Raw genomic sequence first — 13,375 nt, 5'->3', positions numbered from 1 at the left:
CTGCCCAGAAACTCACTCACTTTACCCTATTTTATTCTTCACAGCACTTATCTCCACCTGAAACTATTTTATTTATGAAGTTATTTTTTTTAACTTTTTCCTACTGCAATGTGAGTTTCATGAGGATAGGAACACTTTGGATTCCTCTCTGTACCTGCATCACCAAGAAAAATGCCTGGAAAAGCAGGCATCAAGTATACATTTTTGAGTGAAATAATGAATTCATATAACTGACGAGACTTAGCTAAATTATGTTAACTTGAGTGGATAGTGAGGGGACAATGGATATGACTTCCCACAGCATGTATTCCTAATCAGTCTATTTGAGCCTATCTGATCACACAGCATCACAGATCGCTGCAGTATGCTTTCCTTTAGAACTGACCAGAGAGATGACTATGTTTTCTTTTCAATTTAATTTAAAATTTTGGGATACAGGTGCAGTCTGCGCAGATTTGTTACATAGGTAAACATGTGCCATGGTGGTTTGCTACACCTATCAACCTGTCACCTAGGTATTAAGCACAGCATGCATTAGCTATTTATCTTGATGCTCTTCCTCCCTCCACCCCTACCACCACAAGCCGCAGTGTGTGTTGTTCCCCTCCCTGTGTCCATGTGTTCTCATTGTTCAGCTCCCACTTATAAGTGAGAACATGCATTGTTTGGTTTCCTGTTCCTGCTTTAGTTTGCCGAAGATAATGGCTTCAAGTGCCATCCATGTCCCTGCAAAGGACATGATCTCATTCGTTTTTATGGCTGCATGATATTCCATGGTGTACGTGTACCACAATTTGTTTATCCAGCCTGTCAAAAGACATGGGCTTTTCAGTTGATTCCATGTCTTTGCTGTTGTGAGTAGTGCTGCAATGAACACATACATGCATGTATCTTTGTGATAGAATGATTTATATTCCTTTTGGTATATGCCCAGTAATGGAACTGCTGGGTCAAATGGTATTTCTGGTTCTAGGTCTTTGAGGAATCACCATACTGTCTTCCACAATGGTTGAACTAATTTACATTCCCACCAACAGTGTAAAAGTGTTCCTATTTCTCCACAGCCTTGCCAGCATCTGCCATTTCTCGACTTTTTAATAATTGCCATTCTGAATAGCGTGAGATGGTATCTCATTGTGGTTTTCATTTGCATTTCTCTAATGATCAGTTAAGTTGAGCTTCTTTTCATAGGTTTATTGGCTGCATAGATGTCTTCTTTTGAGAAGTGTCTGTTCACGTCTTTTGCCCACTTTTTAATGAGTTTTTCTTCTTTTAAATTTGTTTAAGTTCCTTGTAGATTCTGGATATTAGACCTTCATCAGATGGATAGATTGCAAAGATGTCCTCCAACTCTCCAGGTTGTCTGTTCACTCTGATGATGGTTTATTTTGCTGTGCAGAAGCTCTTTAGTTTAATTAGAACCCATTTGTCACACTTTGCTTTTGTTGCAATTGCTTTTGACATTTTCATCATGAAATCTTTGCCTGTGCCTATGGCCTGAATGGTATTGCCTAGATTTTCTTCTAGGGTTTTTATAGTTTTGGGTTTTACACATAAGTCTTTAATCCATCTTGAGTTAATTTTTGTATAAGGTGTAAGGAAGGGGGTCCAGTTTCAATTTTCTGCATATGGCTAGCCAGTTCTCCCAGCATCACTTATTAAATAGGGAATCCTTTCCCCACTGTTTGTTTTTGTCAGGTTTGTCAAAGATCAGATGGTTGTAGATGTGCTGTCTTATTTCTGAGTTCTCTATTTTGCTCAATTGCTCTATGTGTCTGACTTTGTATCAGTACAATGCTGTTTTGGTTACTGTAGCCTTGTTGTATAGTTTGAAGTCGGGTAGTATGATGCTTCTAGCTTTGTTCCTTTTGCTTAGGATTGCCTTGGCTATATGGGCTCCTTTTTGGTTCCATATGAATTTTAAAGTTGTTGTTTCTAATTCTGTGAAGAATGGAGGTGACCATCCTTTCTATCCCTCAATGCTTTCCTGTCTCTAACATGCTCCCCACCCAAGCCACCTTCATCCTGCTGCATGCTCTGGAGGGACCCTCAGCAATGTCATCTGACCATATCTCTCTCCTTATGTTGGACAATACAGTCTCATCTAATGGTATTCCGGTTCCTGCCTACCTGTTCAGCCTCATCTCTTGACTCTTTCCTCCTGGCACTTTGAAGCAAGGCCAAGCTCCTTGTCACCCTCTGCACTTGCTGTGTTCTGCATCCCTCTGTCCTTCATGCATGTATTCCCTCAGCTTTGATAGTCTGCCACTCTTTTCTCTTGCAAACCACTAAGCAACCTCATGGTTCTGCTTAGCTGCCCACTTCTGTGATGCTTTCCTAACTCCTCATCAACGAGGTGAGTACTCCTTGCGCCTACTATTCCTTATATATAGTTATTTCCTTAATTACATGATGCTTTAGAAGGCAGTGGTATAAAAGCTTGAGCTACAGAAGAAAACAATGAAGACTTGAAATTTTTCAGAATAAAATATTAAAAATTGGAAGAACATAAAGGATCAAAATATATTTTAAAAGATCATGGGCTATGTGAACAGAAAAACCTAGGTTCTAATGCTATTCTTCTGTTCACCCACTGTGAAGCCTGGAGCAAGTGATTTATCCTCTCTAAGCCCTAATTCCCTCACTTGCAACGTGAGGGTAATAGGAGTCCCCACATCATGTTTTTTGTGAAGATTAAATGAGATGACTTAGCTAAAGCACTCAACGCAACAACTGACAAATATTAAGCACTCAGTGCTGTTATTATTAGGTGAGACTGCAATCATCCATAGTAGAAGAATGAACAATTGAAAGGAGTTGCATTGAAGAACCTCATTGCTTGACAGGTATTTGGAGGGTAACTGGGTTTAATGAGGGTGGGAAGTTAGCCCAAGAAAACATTAGAAGGAAGGTGACAGAACCCTGAGTGATGGTGAATTTATGAATAACTTAACTGGGCCACAGTGTGCCCAGATTTTTGCTCACACATTATCCTGGATGTTTCTGAAAGGATGTTTTTGGATGAGATTAACAATTGAATCAGTAGACTGAATAAAACTGATTGTACTTCCCGACATGAGTGTACCCCATCCAATTGGTTGAAGGCCTGAATAGAAAGAACCAAAAGGCTCACCTTCCTCTAAATAAGAGGGAATTTCTCCCACCTGACTGTCCTTGAACTAGGACATTGGCTTCTTTTTGCCTTCATGCTTAAACTAAAATGTTGGCTCTTCCTGGTTCTCGAGCCTGTCAGCTTTCTAACTGGAGCCACCCCATTGGCTCTCCTGGGTCTTCTGCCTGTTGACTCAGCCTGCAGGTGCTGAGATCTATCAGTCTCCATAATCATATGAGCCAATTCCTCATAATAAATATCTCTCTGTGTGTCTCTTTCTCCATATATATATATATATATATATATATATATGGAACATCTGAGTAGTGGCTGGTGTCTGCAGCACACAGCTATTTTGTGAACAGTATATGTTAGTACATAGTAGGCTCCCACAGCAGCAGGGAAGAAAGGTGAGAGGTCTAAACCATAACCCATTACACAACTCTGAGTATTGAAATGTGGATAAGGAAAATGAGTTTTCTAAATGAGGTTGCACTGGAATTTTCAGTGTTTGTTTGCAGGCCACACAATGTTTAAGATGTGTGTAATATGGCATTTTCTGCTAACTAAACTTCTTAACCTTGGGGATAAGAGTACTTACCCTGTATTGCATTTATCCAACCAGAAATATTTGTTGCATGTCAACAATGTGCCATGCATTGTTCTGGGAAAGGAAGATAAGATAGGCAAGGTCCTTGCTCCATTGCACTTATCTTCTTGTAGGAGGAAACATACTATACACATAAGCAAATAAATAAACAAGGAAACTGTCTTATGGTGGTAAGTGATAGTAAAATCAGGTGATATAAAAGAAAGTGACCTTAGCCTGGTGATCAGAGAAGGCTTCTCTGAGGAGTGACAAGAAGAACTAGCCACGCAAAGGTCAGGGGATGACATTCCAGGCATAAGGAGCCTGGTACAGAGGCCCAAAGCCAAAGACAAGCTTGGCCTGAGAGAGGAACAGAATGTGGATGGAGCATAAGTGGGCATGAGGGAGCGTGGTGCCCACTTGTGGGAACAAGAGGCTGGGGCATGTCTAAATAGTGTTGATTTTTGTTTTAAGTGTGACAGGAAACCACTGGAAGTGTTGAACAGGAAAGTGACTTGATCTCATTTGCACTTTAGAAAAATCATGCCTGGTGCCCTGTGATAAAATTAATCATGGGGAGGGTGACTATAGTCACCTTAATTGTACATTTGAAAATAACTAAAAGAATATAAATGGATTATTTGTAACACAAAGGATAAATGCTTGAGGGGATGAATACCCCATTCTCCATGATGTGGTTATTATGCATTGCATGCCTGTACCAAAACATCTCGTGTACTCCATAAATATATACAAGTTCTATGTACCCACAAAAATTAAAAATAAAAAAAATTTAAAGAAATTAATCATGGGGGAAAGAGGAGACAGCTCAATGCAATGCATGATCCTAGATCAGACCCAGGACCAGGAAAAACATGTTTTTCTTTTGCTATAAAGAACATCAATGAGACAATCGGCAAAATTTTAAAATGTATGTAGATTTGATAATGTCAACGTTAATTTTCTGACTCAGATAATTTTACTTTGTTTATGTCAGAGAGGGTCCTTGTTTTTAGGAAACACACACTGAAAGACATTATGTCTACAACCTACTCTCAAACAGTTCAGAAAAATAACCCATAAAAACAAAGAGAGATAATAATAAAGCAAATGAGATCAAATGTTGATGAATCTGGGTGAAGGGTACATGAAGATTCTTTGTAAATTTTTTCTACTTTTTCATAAGTCAGATTATTTCCAAAAAAGTGTGAGATCTATAGAGAGGTGGATTCAAAGAGAGAAACAGAATGGGAGTAGGGAGTTTGACTGAATGGTTAGTGTGGAGGACTAGGGGTGTTAGTAAATGACATTCTGTACCTGACCATTCACCACTGGGAGAATTTATGACAATTTACTGGAAAGAGACGCAAACACTTATTCCCATTTTCATCTCTCCACCTGCCTAGAAGAAGACTGACCATTTTGCTTATAGAGGGCCTGGCACATAGCAGGTATTTCATAAGTAACTCTTGAATTGAACATACCTTTCCATCTGGCCAAATGGTTTTCTCTCTCAGCCAAGTTATAGGTATAGGATGTTTCAGGGTACTTTTTTTTTTTCATGAATTTTGTGTAAGTGGACTGACCATGAATAGTATTTGGCTTAGGCAACAATTCCCACAGACTATGAGGTGCTTCTAGCAAACCTCAAAGGTACCATTAAACGGACACAGCGGGGGCAAAATTAGCACTACCTTTCAAACATTTTCTGGCACTACATCTCCTTGGCTTAGGTATTTAGCTGCGAGGAAGCAAGAGGATGCATTGGAAAAGGACAAAGTTGGATGTTCAAGGTCCTGTGTTTTACTGCCAACTTTCACTACTTACTAGGTGTATTTCCTGGAATTCTACTCAATGTCTCTGAGCCTTAGTTTCTTCAGCTTTAAAATATGAATAATCATTCCGCTTTGCCTTGTGTGCTTGTTGAGGCACAGCATAAACATTCAGTCTTATAACACATGCAATAGACATTTCCGGGATTGTTCCTTCATGTAGAGAAAGGAAAATCCAAATAGGATCAAGATATTTTGTGTTTTTTAAATCTGGAAATTCCTTTGAGTCCAGAAGTGGAGCCACACAATGCCAAAAATTATAAAATATACCATTTAAATAAATGTCCTTGCTATTTCTGATTGGTAAAATAGATGCTTAAATGACTGTTTTTCTCTTTTCATTAATATGTTTAATATCATGTAGACATAGCTTGAAAGGCTATGCTTCGCTACACTAATCAGTTGAACAATTCAAATCTCTAAGTTGGGACTTGCAAGAAGTTATCTAAATGCTTTCTTTTTCCTTCAGCCATAGTGATTAACTTTCATTTTACAGTTGTGGGTCACAGTGGTTCTCAACGTTGGCTGCACATTGGAATCATCTGGAGATTCTGATTTAATTAGTCTGTAGTATCTGAATAATGGATGTTTAAATGGTCCCCAAGTAATTTTGATTTGAGAAACCTTGTCCAAGAAGAATAATTCCAATTAGCATTCCATGTGGATCTCTAAAGATTCTGTAATAAAAGCAGCACACAGAAAAAGAGGCCTGCCAAATCCTAACCACAACAAGCAGAGATTCTAGGTTCCTGAGTGGGCATTTGTAACTATAAATTTAGATCTTACATTTTCACCAGAAAATCAAATAAAATCTCCATTATGTAGAAATCTACTTCAAGAGGAAGAAAGACAAATTGCTTTTTGTAACTGACTATTCCTGTCTCGTCTCTGGCTCTTGCGGATCTCTCCCACATACAACCCTGAGAAGAACTGGTGACACTCAATGGCCTACCTGTGTCCCATCAGCATTGAGGACGCCCTTTTTACAGACTAGCAAAGGCCCTACCAGGCCAGAGCTGGTGTCCTTAATTGGATCAACTGCTGAGAAGTAAAGATAGGTCAGACAGGGAGGATCACCAGCAGTTGGGCTTACGCTCTCAGGCACTGTCCACTTGTATGTGAAGGTTTCACCTGGTTTAACATGCGCCCCTGGTTTCACAAATCCTGAGGATATAAACAAAACAATTATTCAAAACAACAGGCAAGAACATTACATTGGTCAGACTGGGTCTTCCAGCCCTGGGTGCCTCCCTCTGATGATGAAGAATTTTGTACCAGGAGAGTGGTTTTCTCTTATGTATCCTACCAGAAGAGGCCACTGCCACAATCTGCTGGCTTATGAGATAAAAGTTTAAATCAAAGGATTATCTTCTTCATAAATCCCATACAATTTCTTGCTCAAATGCCAGCCTTAGCAAATATTAAAAGACTGATAGTGGCCCATTCAACAGTTAAGTGAAAATTCATAAAATATCATTGGAATGCTTTCTATGTAGAATATATTACACTTGGTCTTGCAGAAGATACCCAAAAGAATTAAGCAAGAAACCTATCTTTAAAGAGTTTGAAATATAGGAGACTGAACTTGGAAATCATCCAAATAACTACAAGATAGAGGAGTTTAGTGAATGCCCAAGGTTATGACATTGATATATAGCAAATCTGGGATTCAAACTCAGTTTTTGTCTGATTCCAAAGACTGTGCACTTAACCCTTACACCGTACTGCCAAAAAACACATTGATTCTTTCCTACTAGACAAGGCCAGAGGCTCATTCTGCATTTTATCCAGTGCTCTGCAAAAAGGTGCCCAGTATGTTTGCTGAGTTAACAAACATTTTGTCAGTTCTAGTGTTCTTTCTGCACACACACACACAGTCATTCTGAGCATTTTTTTCTTTTATTTTTTTAAGAGACAAGGTCTTGCTATGTCACCCAGGCTGTAGTACAGTGGCATGATTATAACTGTAATCTTGAATTCCCTCAAGAGATCCTCTTGCCTCAGCCTTCCAAATTGCTGGGCTTACAGGCATGACCCACTGCACGCAGCCATTTTGGTATTTTGACCAAAGAGGAGAGGATGGTTTTAGGAATTGTTACCGCAGCAAGAGAGGGTGAGGATGGGTCCAGGGAGAGGGAATTCTCTTCCATTCCTTTCTCTTCTGTCCCCTCACTATCACCACAAAACCTGTTCTCAACTGGGCCTGGCATCACACTCGAGTGTGAAGAGTATCCCAGGAAGCCAGGGTGTCTGCTGCAGTAATAGGGATGAGTACCAAGGAACTAGAAGTTTCCCAAGAGCAGTATCATGAATGGATTAGAGTTCCCACAGCCACTGGGCAACAGCTACCTTTCTTACATTTAGAGAACCTATGCCATGTACTCTGTGATGGGGAGAGGCCATATCAGATGATAAGCACACATTACTGTTTTTTATAAATATATTTGTTGATTTGATACAGAGCAAAGACCATGTGTAAGATTTCGATGTCAACAAACCATTAGAAATCAAATTTTCCCTTCAGCCTTCACCTGCAGAATCCTATGCAACCTGCAACTGAAAAGCTCTCCATCTTAGAGAAAAAGAAGTGACTGTGAAAGTAGCTTACTTTTGAGATTTACTATATTGCTGAGAAAAAAAGAAAGAAATGAACATTTCCTAAGAACCTACCATGGGCCAGACCTTGTCCTAAATTCTCTCCATCCCTTTCCAAAGCCCTGTGAGGTGAGTATTGTTATCTGCATTTGACAGGAGAGAATCAGGTTCAGAAAGTTTAAGTGATTGCCCAAGCTCTCAGGGCAGGTAATGGAAAGGACCAGGATTTGAACCAGGACTGTTTATTTCTAAGTGCTTTGCTCACCCGTCCTGTTTCCTCCCTAAGCCCAGAGTGAGACTTACCATCTAGGTTTGGGGCTGCATCAGATGCCTTGTCATAGATCACACCATGGGGTAAAATGCTATAGACCTTGTCGGCTTTGTTGGCAAAGGTCACTAACAGGGTATCACCCACCTCTGCCTTGATGACTGGGCCTGAAAAAATATCCAGAAGAAGAGAGAGAAGAGAATGAAAAGAGACAGAAAGAAGTAAAGCAGAAGAGTCATTCTGTGCAGATGTACATGCCCAGCTAAAACATCTCCCTGGGTTCAATGCATGGGGGATGGTTTTACTGTACCAAGAATTCCAAGATGGGCTTCTTCAGCAGAGAGTCTCTTTCTTTTAGTAAAAGTTGCATCAACAAATTCAGTATACCGAACCTTCCAGTATTTTCCTCCTATTCTGTTGTCCCCTTGTGTGAAGTAGAGATCAGAGTCACTGAAAAGACATAGGAATGTGATTGAGGACACTTCTCAACATATCCACCAAATACTTTAATTATAGAACTTCATTCTATCACTTTTAGTCCACTCGCCCACCCATGTCCCCAGAAAAGACAGCACAGGCCTTGACAGAGTTCCCAGGAATAGTTAACCAGCCCTAAAAGTCTTCAGAGGCTGGGTGATACTCAAGCTCATTTCTCTCAGCCATTGTACTTTCTTCCCAAGAGGTCCAGCACTGAACCAGTCACAAGTAAACTCCTTATTTACCAATAGTAGAGTTCCAGAATGGTGTTCTACAAAGTAACAAAGAGCTAACTGGTTTCTCTGCAGAATAAGCATCCCTCTCTCTCTTGCTGATATTAATATGAATATTCTCTGCATCTAGTAAGCTCTTTGATTTCTGGCATTATTAAGGAATGGAGTGTCTAGTTAATCAAATAGTGTAATTATTGGAGGGCTACCATATAAACCATATGCATGAAATGCAAAATTTCCAAGTCGTGAATATGATAATATAAATTCTGACTAATACTGTCTCTATACTATCTTATTTCCATCAATGGTGCCATCACTCTTGCAGCCACGTAGATTTTCTTTTTCTGCTTCATTCCCTTAACTCATTCATCCTTACTTTGTAAAATTTTTTGGCACTCTTCCTTTTCTATCCTCCTTGTGCATCTTTTCTTTTCCTTTCTTCCCACTACCACGACCCCAGTTCATGCCCTAATCACACTGGGTGGAGCCCATTATATGAACCTCTGAACTGCATCCTCTATCTGATACTGGCTCATTCACTTTTCTTCTCAGCATAGACACACAACTATTAGATTGGTGCAAAAGTAAGCCATAATGGTCATAATGGCCAAGACCGTGATTACAAATTACTTTCAATGGCCAAGACTGTGCTTATTTTTTCACTTAATACATTAATCTCCAAAATGGCAATTGTTATTGCTATTTACCTGCTCCAAAATCTTCAATTGCTTCCAATTGCCAATCAAATAATGTTCAAAAAGATTAAAGGACCTCTGCAATTGATATCCCGTTTACCCCAATTCTCTATTTCTCCATGCCAGTGCCCATTCTTCTATGCAAATTGTTACTGCAGTCTCATCTGTTCATTCCTCCCATGCCACAGGTGCTTTGCATCAACCCCTCCATCTAAAATTCCTCTCTTCCCTATTCAGTTAAATAAATTCTATCACTCCTTAAGATTTTGCTTAAGTCTCACTTCCTCTATAATGTGTTCCCTGGCCAGCTTAGCTCTCTCTGAGCATCCAGATAACTCACTACCAGGACAACTCACCTCACTTTTATTTGTAACTTGCAGTTACTTCTCTACTCTTGTGAACCCAGCTTCTTCCTCTGCATTTTATTGCTTTAGATATCCTTGCATCCCTCATGTCATCTTGCACTTTGTGCTTTCATATATCACATTAAACATTGATTGAATATAGTTTAATCTTTCCTATTTCAGAAGGCACTTCAGAATTCTAGAAGGCTCCTAAGACAATTTTGAATGCTAATTCTCATTATTCTGTTTATGGAGAAATACTAGTCAATAGAGAATGTTGATATCAGAGTCTTTCACATATGGTTCACACAAATTCTTTAGACAGGGTTCAAGTGCATCCGTTTGGTAGAATAATGAGTGAAAGTATGAATGAATGAATGAATGAATGAATAAAATGTACAATTAAAGAAACAAATGATGTTTTATTGATCACAAAGAGAATTTTTAAAACATTCCCTTAAATATAAAAAAGGATTCTTGATATCACACTGTACATTTTTTAGTATCTTCACAGACAACTTTGCATATGATTATATACTAACAAGTCACAGGAGTCCAGATCCACCTAATAAATTGCTAGATTAATTTTTTAAATAGTATATTCTATGGGAGCGCAGAGAGAACATAATTCATTTATATCAAGAGTCAAAGGTTTCACTTCAGAGGTGACATTAGAGTAAGGCTTTGAAAGAAAAATGGCATTTTACTGAATAGAAAGGAAAAGAATATTTGTAGGACATAAAGGGGACACAACTTAAATCAGGATATCCTTGAACCAAAAAGGGTAACCCTCTTAGGCCAGGTCATCTCCATCTCCTGTCATTCCCTCTTCAAGACTGTCTGCTCCATATGTGTAAAGGCCTTACTCTATTCTTTGTCAGCTTAGTATTTCTAATGGCACTTTGCACTATAGTTTGCACATAGTGCCTACTCAAGAAATGTTTGATCAATGAGTGAATGATCTAGTGTTTTGATTCAGCCGTCAAGTCACAAAACAAAAAATATTCTACCAGTTCTCAGCAGTGCTTTTGCAGTATTAAGAACACCTTAAGCAGCTACATTATGCCATCTATGCAGTATAAGCTCATCAGAGCAGTGGTTGGAATACAAATTAGATCACAGAGAAAGCCTAACACATGCTTCTCTGACGAGAGGCTTAGAAACACCAACAAAGGGTGCTTACCTGCCAGAGGCGTTTAGAGGAAGACCACTGAATTTGTTATAGCCTTGAGGAGCATAATCCCAAAGAATTTTTTCAGCTGCTATAAAGTAGCGCCTCTGTTGACCCTTCATCTTGGGGTAGAAAATATCACTTTTGCAGTTATCAACATTGTATTGCCCCAGCATACCAGCTGCAGAACAGAGGAAAACCACGAGCTGAGGCATAAATGATCACAAAAGGAATCATATAGGAAAAGACTGATAGATTTGGCTCTTGAACATTTAGGCTTCTGTACAGAAAATTGGACCATAAAGAAAGTTTTTTTAAAAAGGATAAATGGCAACAGGAGGGATATTTGTGACACATATGACAAAAGATTAATACGTAAATCACTTTTACAGATAAAGATGAAAACAAGTAAATCTCCAATAGAAAATGAGCAAGGAACAGAAATAGTTTATTCACAAAATAAATAATATTGGCCAATAAACAAATGAAAAAGAGGTTCAACCTTAACAGTACTCAAATAGTACTCAAACCTTAACAGTTTTCAAATGATACTATTGTTCATTGATCAGATTAGTAAAGATTAGAAAGACTAATAATTCTCAGTGTTGGTAGATGAATGGGGAAAGAGCCATACTCATACACTTCGTGTAGAAGAATAACAATTTCCAAAAGAGAATGTGGCAATGTATGTCCATAGCTTTTTTAAAAAAATCATACTCTTTGACCCAGAAATTCTAAATCTAGGAGTTTTTCTAAGAAAATGTTCAGACAAAAGTGCAAACATCTATAAATAATAGTCATCAGTGCTGTTTATAATAGCAAAAAAATTGGTGGGAAACATAAGCATTAAGCAATAGAGTATTGATTAAGCAAGATGTAATCTCCTTATAATGGACACTGGAAGTATTAACCATGATGAAGTAAGCTCTATATTCACCGACATGAAAATGTGTTTCTGATATATTTGTAAATGAGAAAAATTAGCTACAGTGCAGCATTAATAGACTGATTTCATTTTTTAAAATACATATATATTTACATATTAAGAAATAGAAAATAGGGAAGATATTCACCAAAATGTGAATATAAAATATTTCTATTATGGAACTACTGATTTTAAAACCAATTTATAGGGGCCAGATCCAGTGGCTCATGCCTATAATCCCAGCACTTTGAAAGGCTAAGGTGGGAGGATTGCTTGGGCCCAGGAGTTTGAGACCAGCCTGGGCAACATAGCAAGACCCTGTCTCTATTTGTTAAAAAACCTCCAATTATATGTATTTTCTAATTTTTTTACAATAACTTTTTTCTGAAGGCATGGACAATTTAGAAATACTGTATTTCAGGGAACGTATAAATACTAGCTTATGTCCACAACTATCGGGCTAATTTAGCGATCTTACTAGTCTCAAATGGCAGCTAATATCTTGATTTTAAATCTACAGTTTCTTCCCAGATTTAACAGCATAAGACTCTTTGAGAATAGAAACCTTCTCTTGTTAATCTTTGTTTTCCCAGAAGAGCATCTAGTACATATTAACTGATTAATTTTTCAGTTGAATGTAATTGGGATACTGCAGTTGACTAATGCTATGACTCACTGTGGAAGGTGGACAGGAACAAGAATGTGTTACAAAAGCAGCCCTGAGCAGCTGGATCTTTGCACCTATTAGTGACTATGGGAAGTTAGTATCCAAATATCAGACATTATTTCTTCTGTGTCTATTCCATTAACATATTTTTTCTGTCTTGGTTTCATCATCTTAGGGCAGACGTTTAGGTGTTAGACCTCTAACACTGTCAAATGCTTCTTAACTAGCATCCAGTGGTCAGAATTCCTCCATCAAGTCCTTCTTGCATGCATACATTTATCTTCTTAAATAACTGCACCGATTATGTCACTAGTGTGCCAAAAGAGCTAAGGATCACACAGCCCCACCTCCTTAGCTTTGCTAAGGGGCCTGATGAGCCTCCCAGGCTCTTCTGTCATCACTTCTCTGTAAGGAACATTATGGTCCAGCTAAGAAAGGACATAGTGTATGATGTCTGAAGAAACCAG

At 38.6% G+C, this 13,375-nt stretch overlaps 1 protein-coding gene across 1 annotated transcript in view; it reads right to left on the bottom strand.

Moving 5' to 3' along the window:
- HEPHL1 (hephaestin like 1) overlaps positions 1 to 13,375 on the bottom strand; it is a 92,855-nt gene that overhangs the window by 32,338 nt on the left and 47,142 nt on the right. The window contains exons 6-9 of the mRNA NM_001098672.2: positions 11,329 to 11,497; positions 8,707 to 8,846; positions 8,432 to 8,563; positions 6,486 to 6,697 (exon numbers count right to left, since the gene is read on the bottom strand). Coding sequence (NP_001092142.1) covers positions 6,486 to 6,697; positions 8,432 to 8,563; positions 8,707 to 8,846; positions 11,329 to 11,497 — 653 coding nt within the window. The remainder of the gene's footprint in view (positions 1 to 6,485; positions 6,698 to 8,431; positions 8,564 to 8,706; positions 8,847 to 11,328; positions 11,498 to 13,375) is intronic.

Source organism: Homo sapiens, chromosome 11 (genome assembly GCF_000001405.40).
Source record: "Homo sapiens chromosome 11, GRCh38.p14 Primary Assembly".
In the NCBI taxonomy this organism is placed as follows: domain Eukaryota; kingdom Metazoa; phylum Chordata; class Mammalia; order Primates; family Hominidae; genus Homo; species Homo sapiens.
Note: the sequence above shows the minus strand (reverse complement) of the source record. Positions and strands in the feature narration are given on the sequence as shown.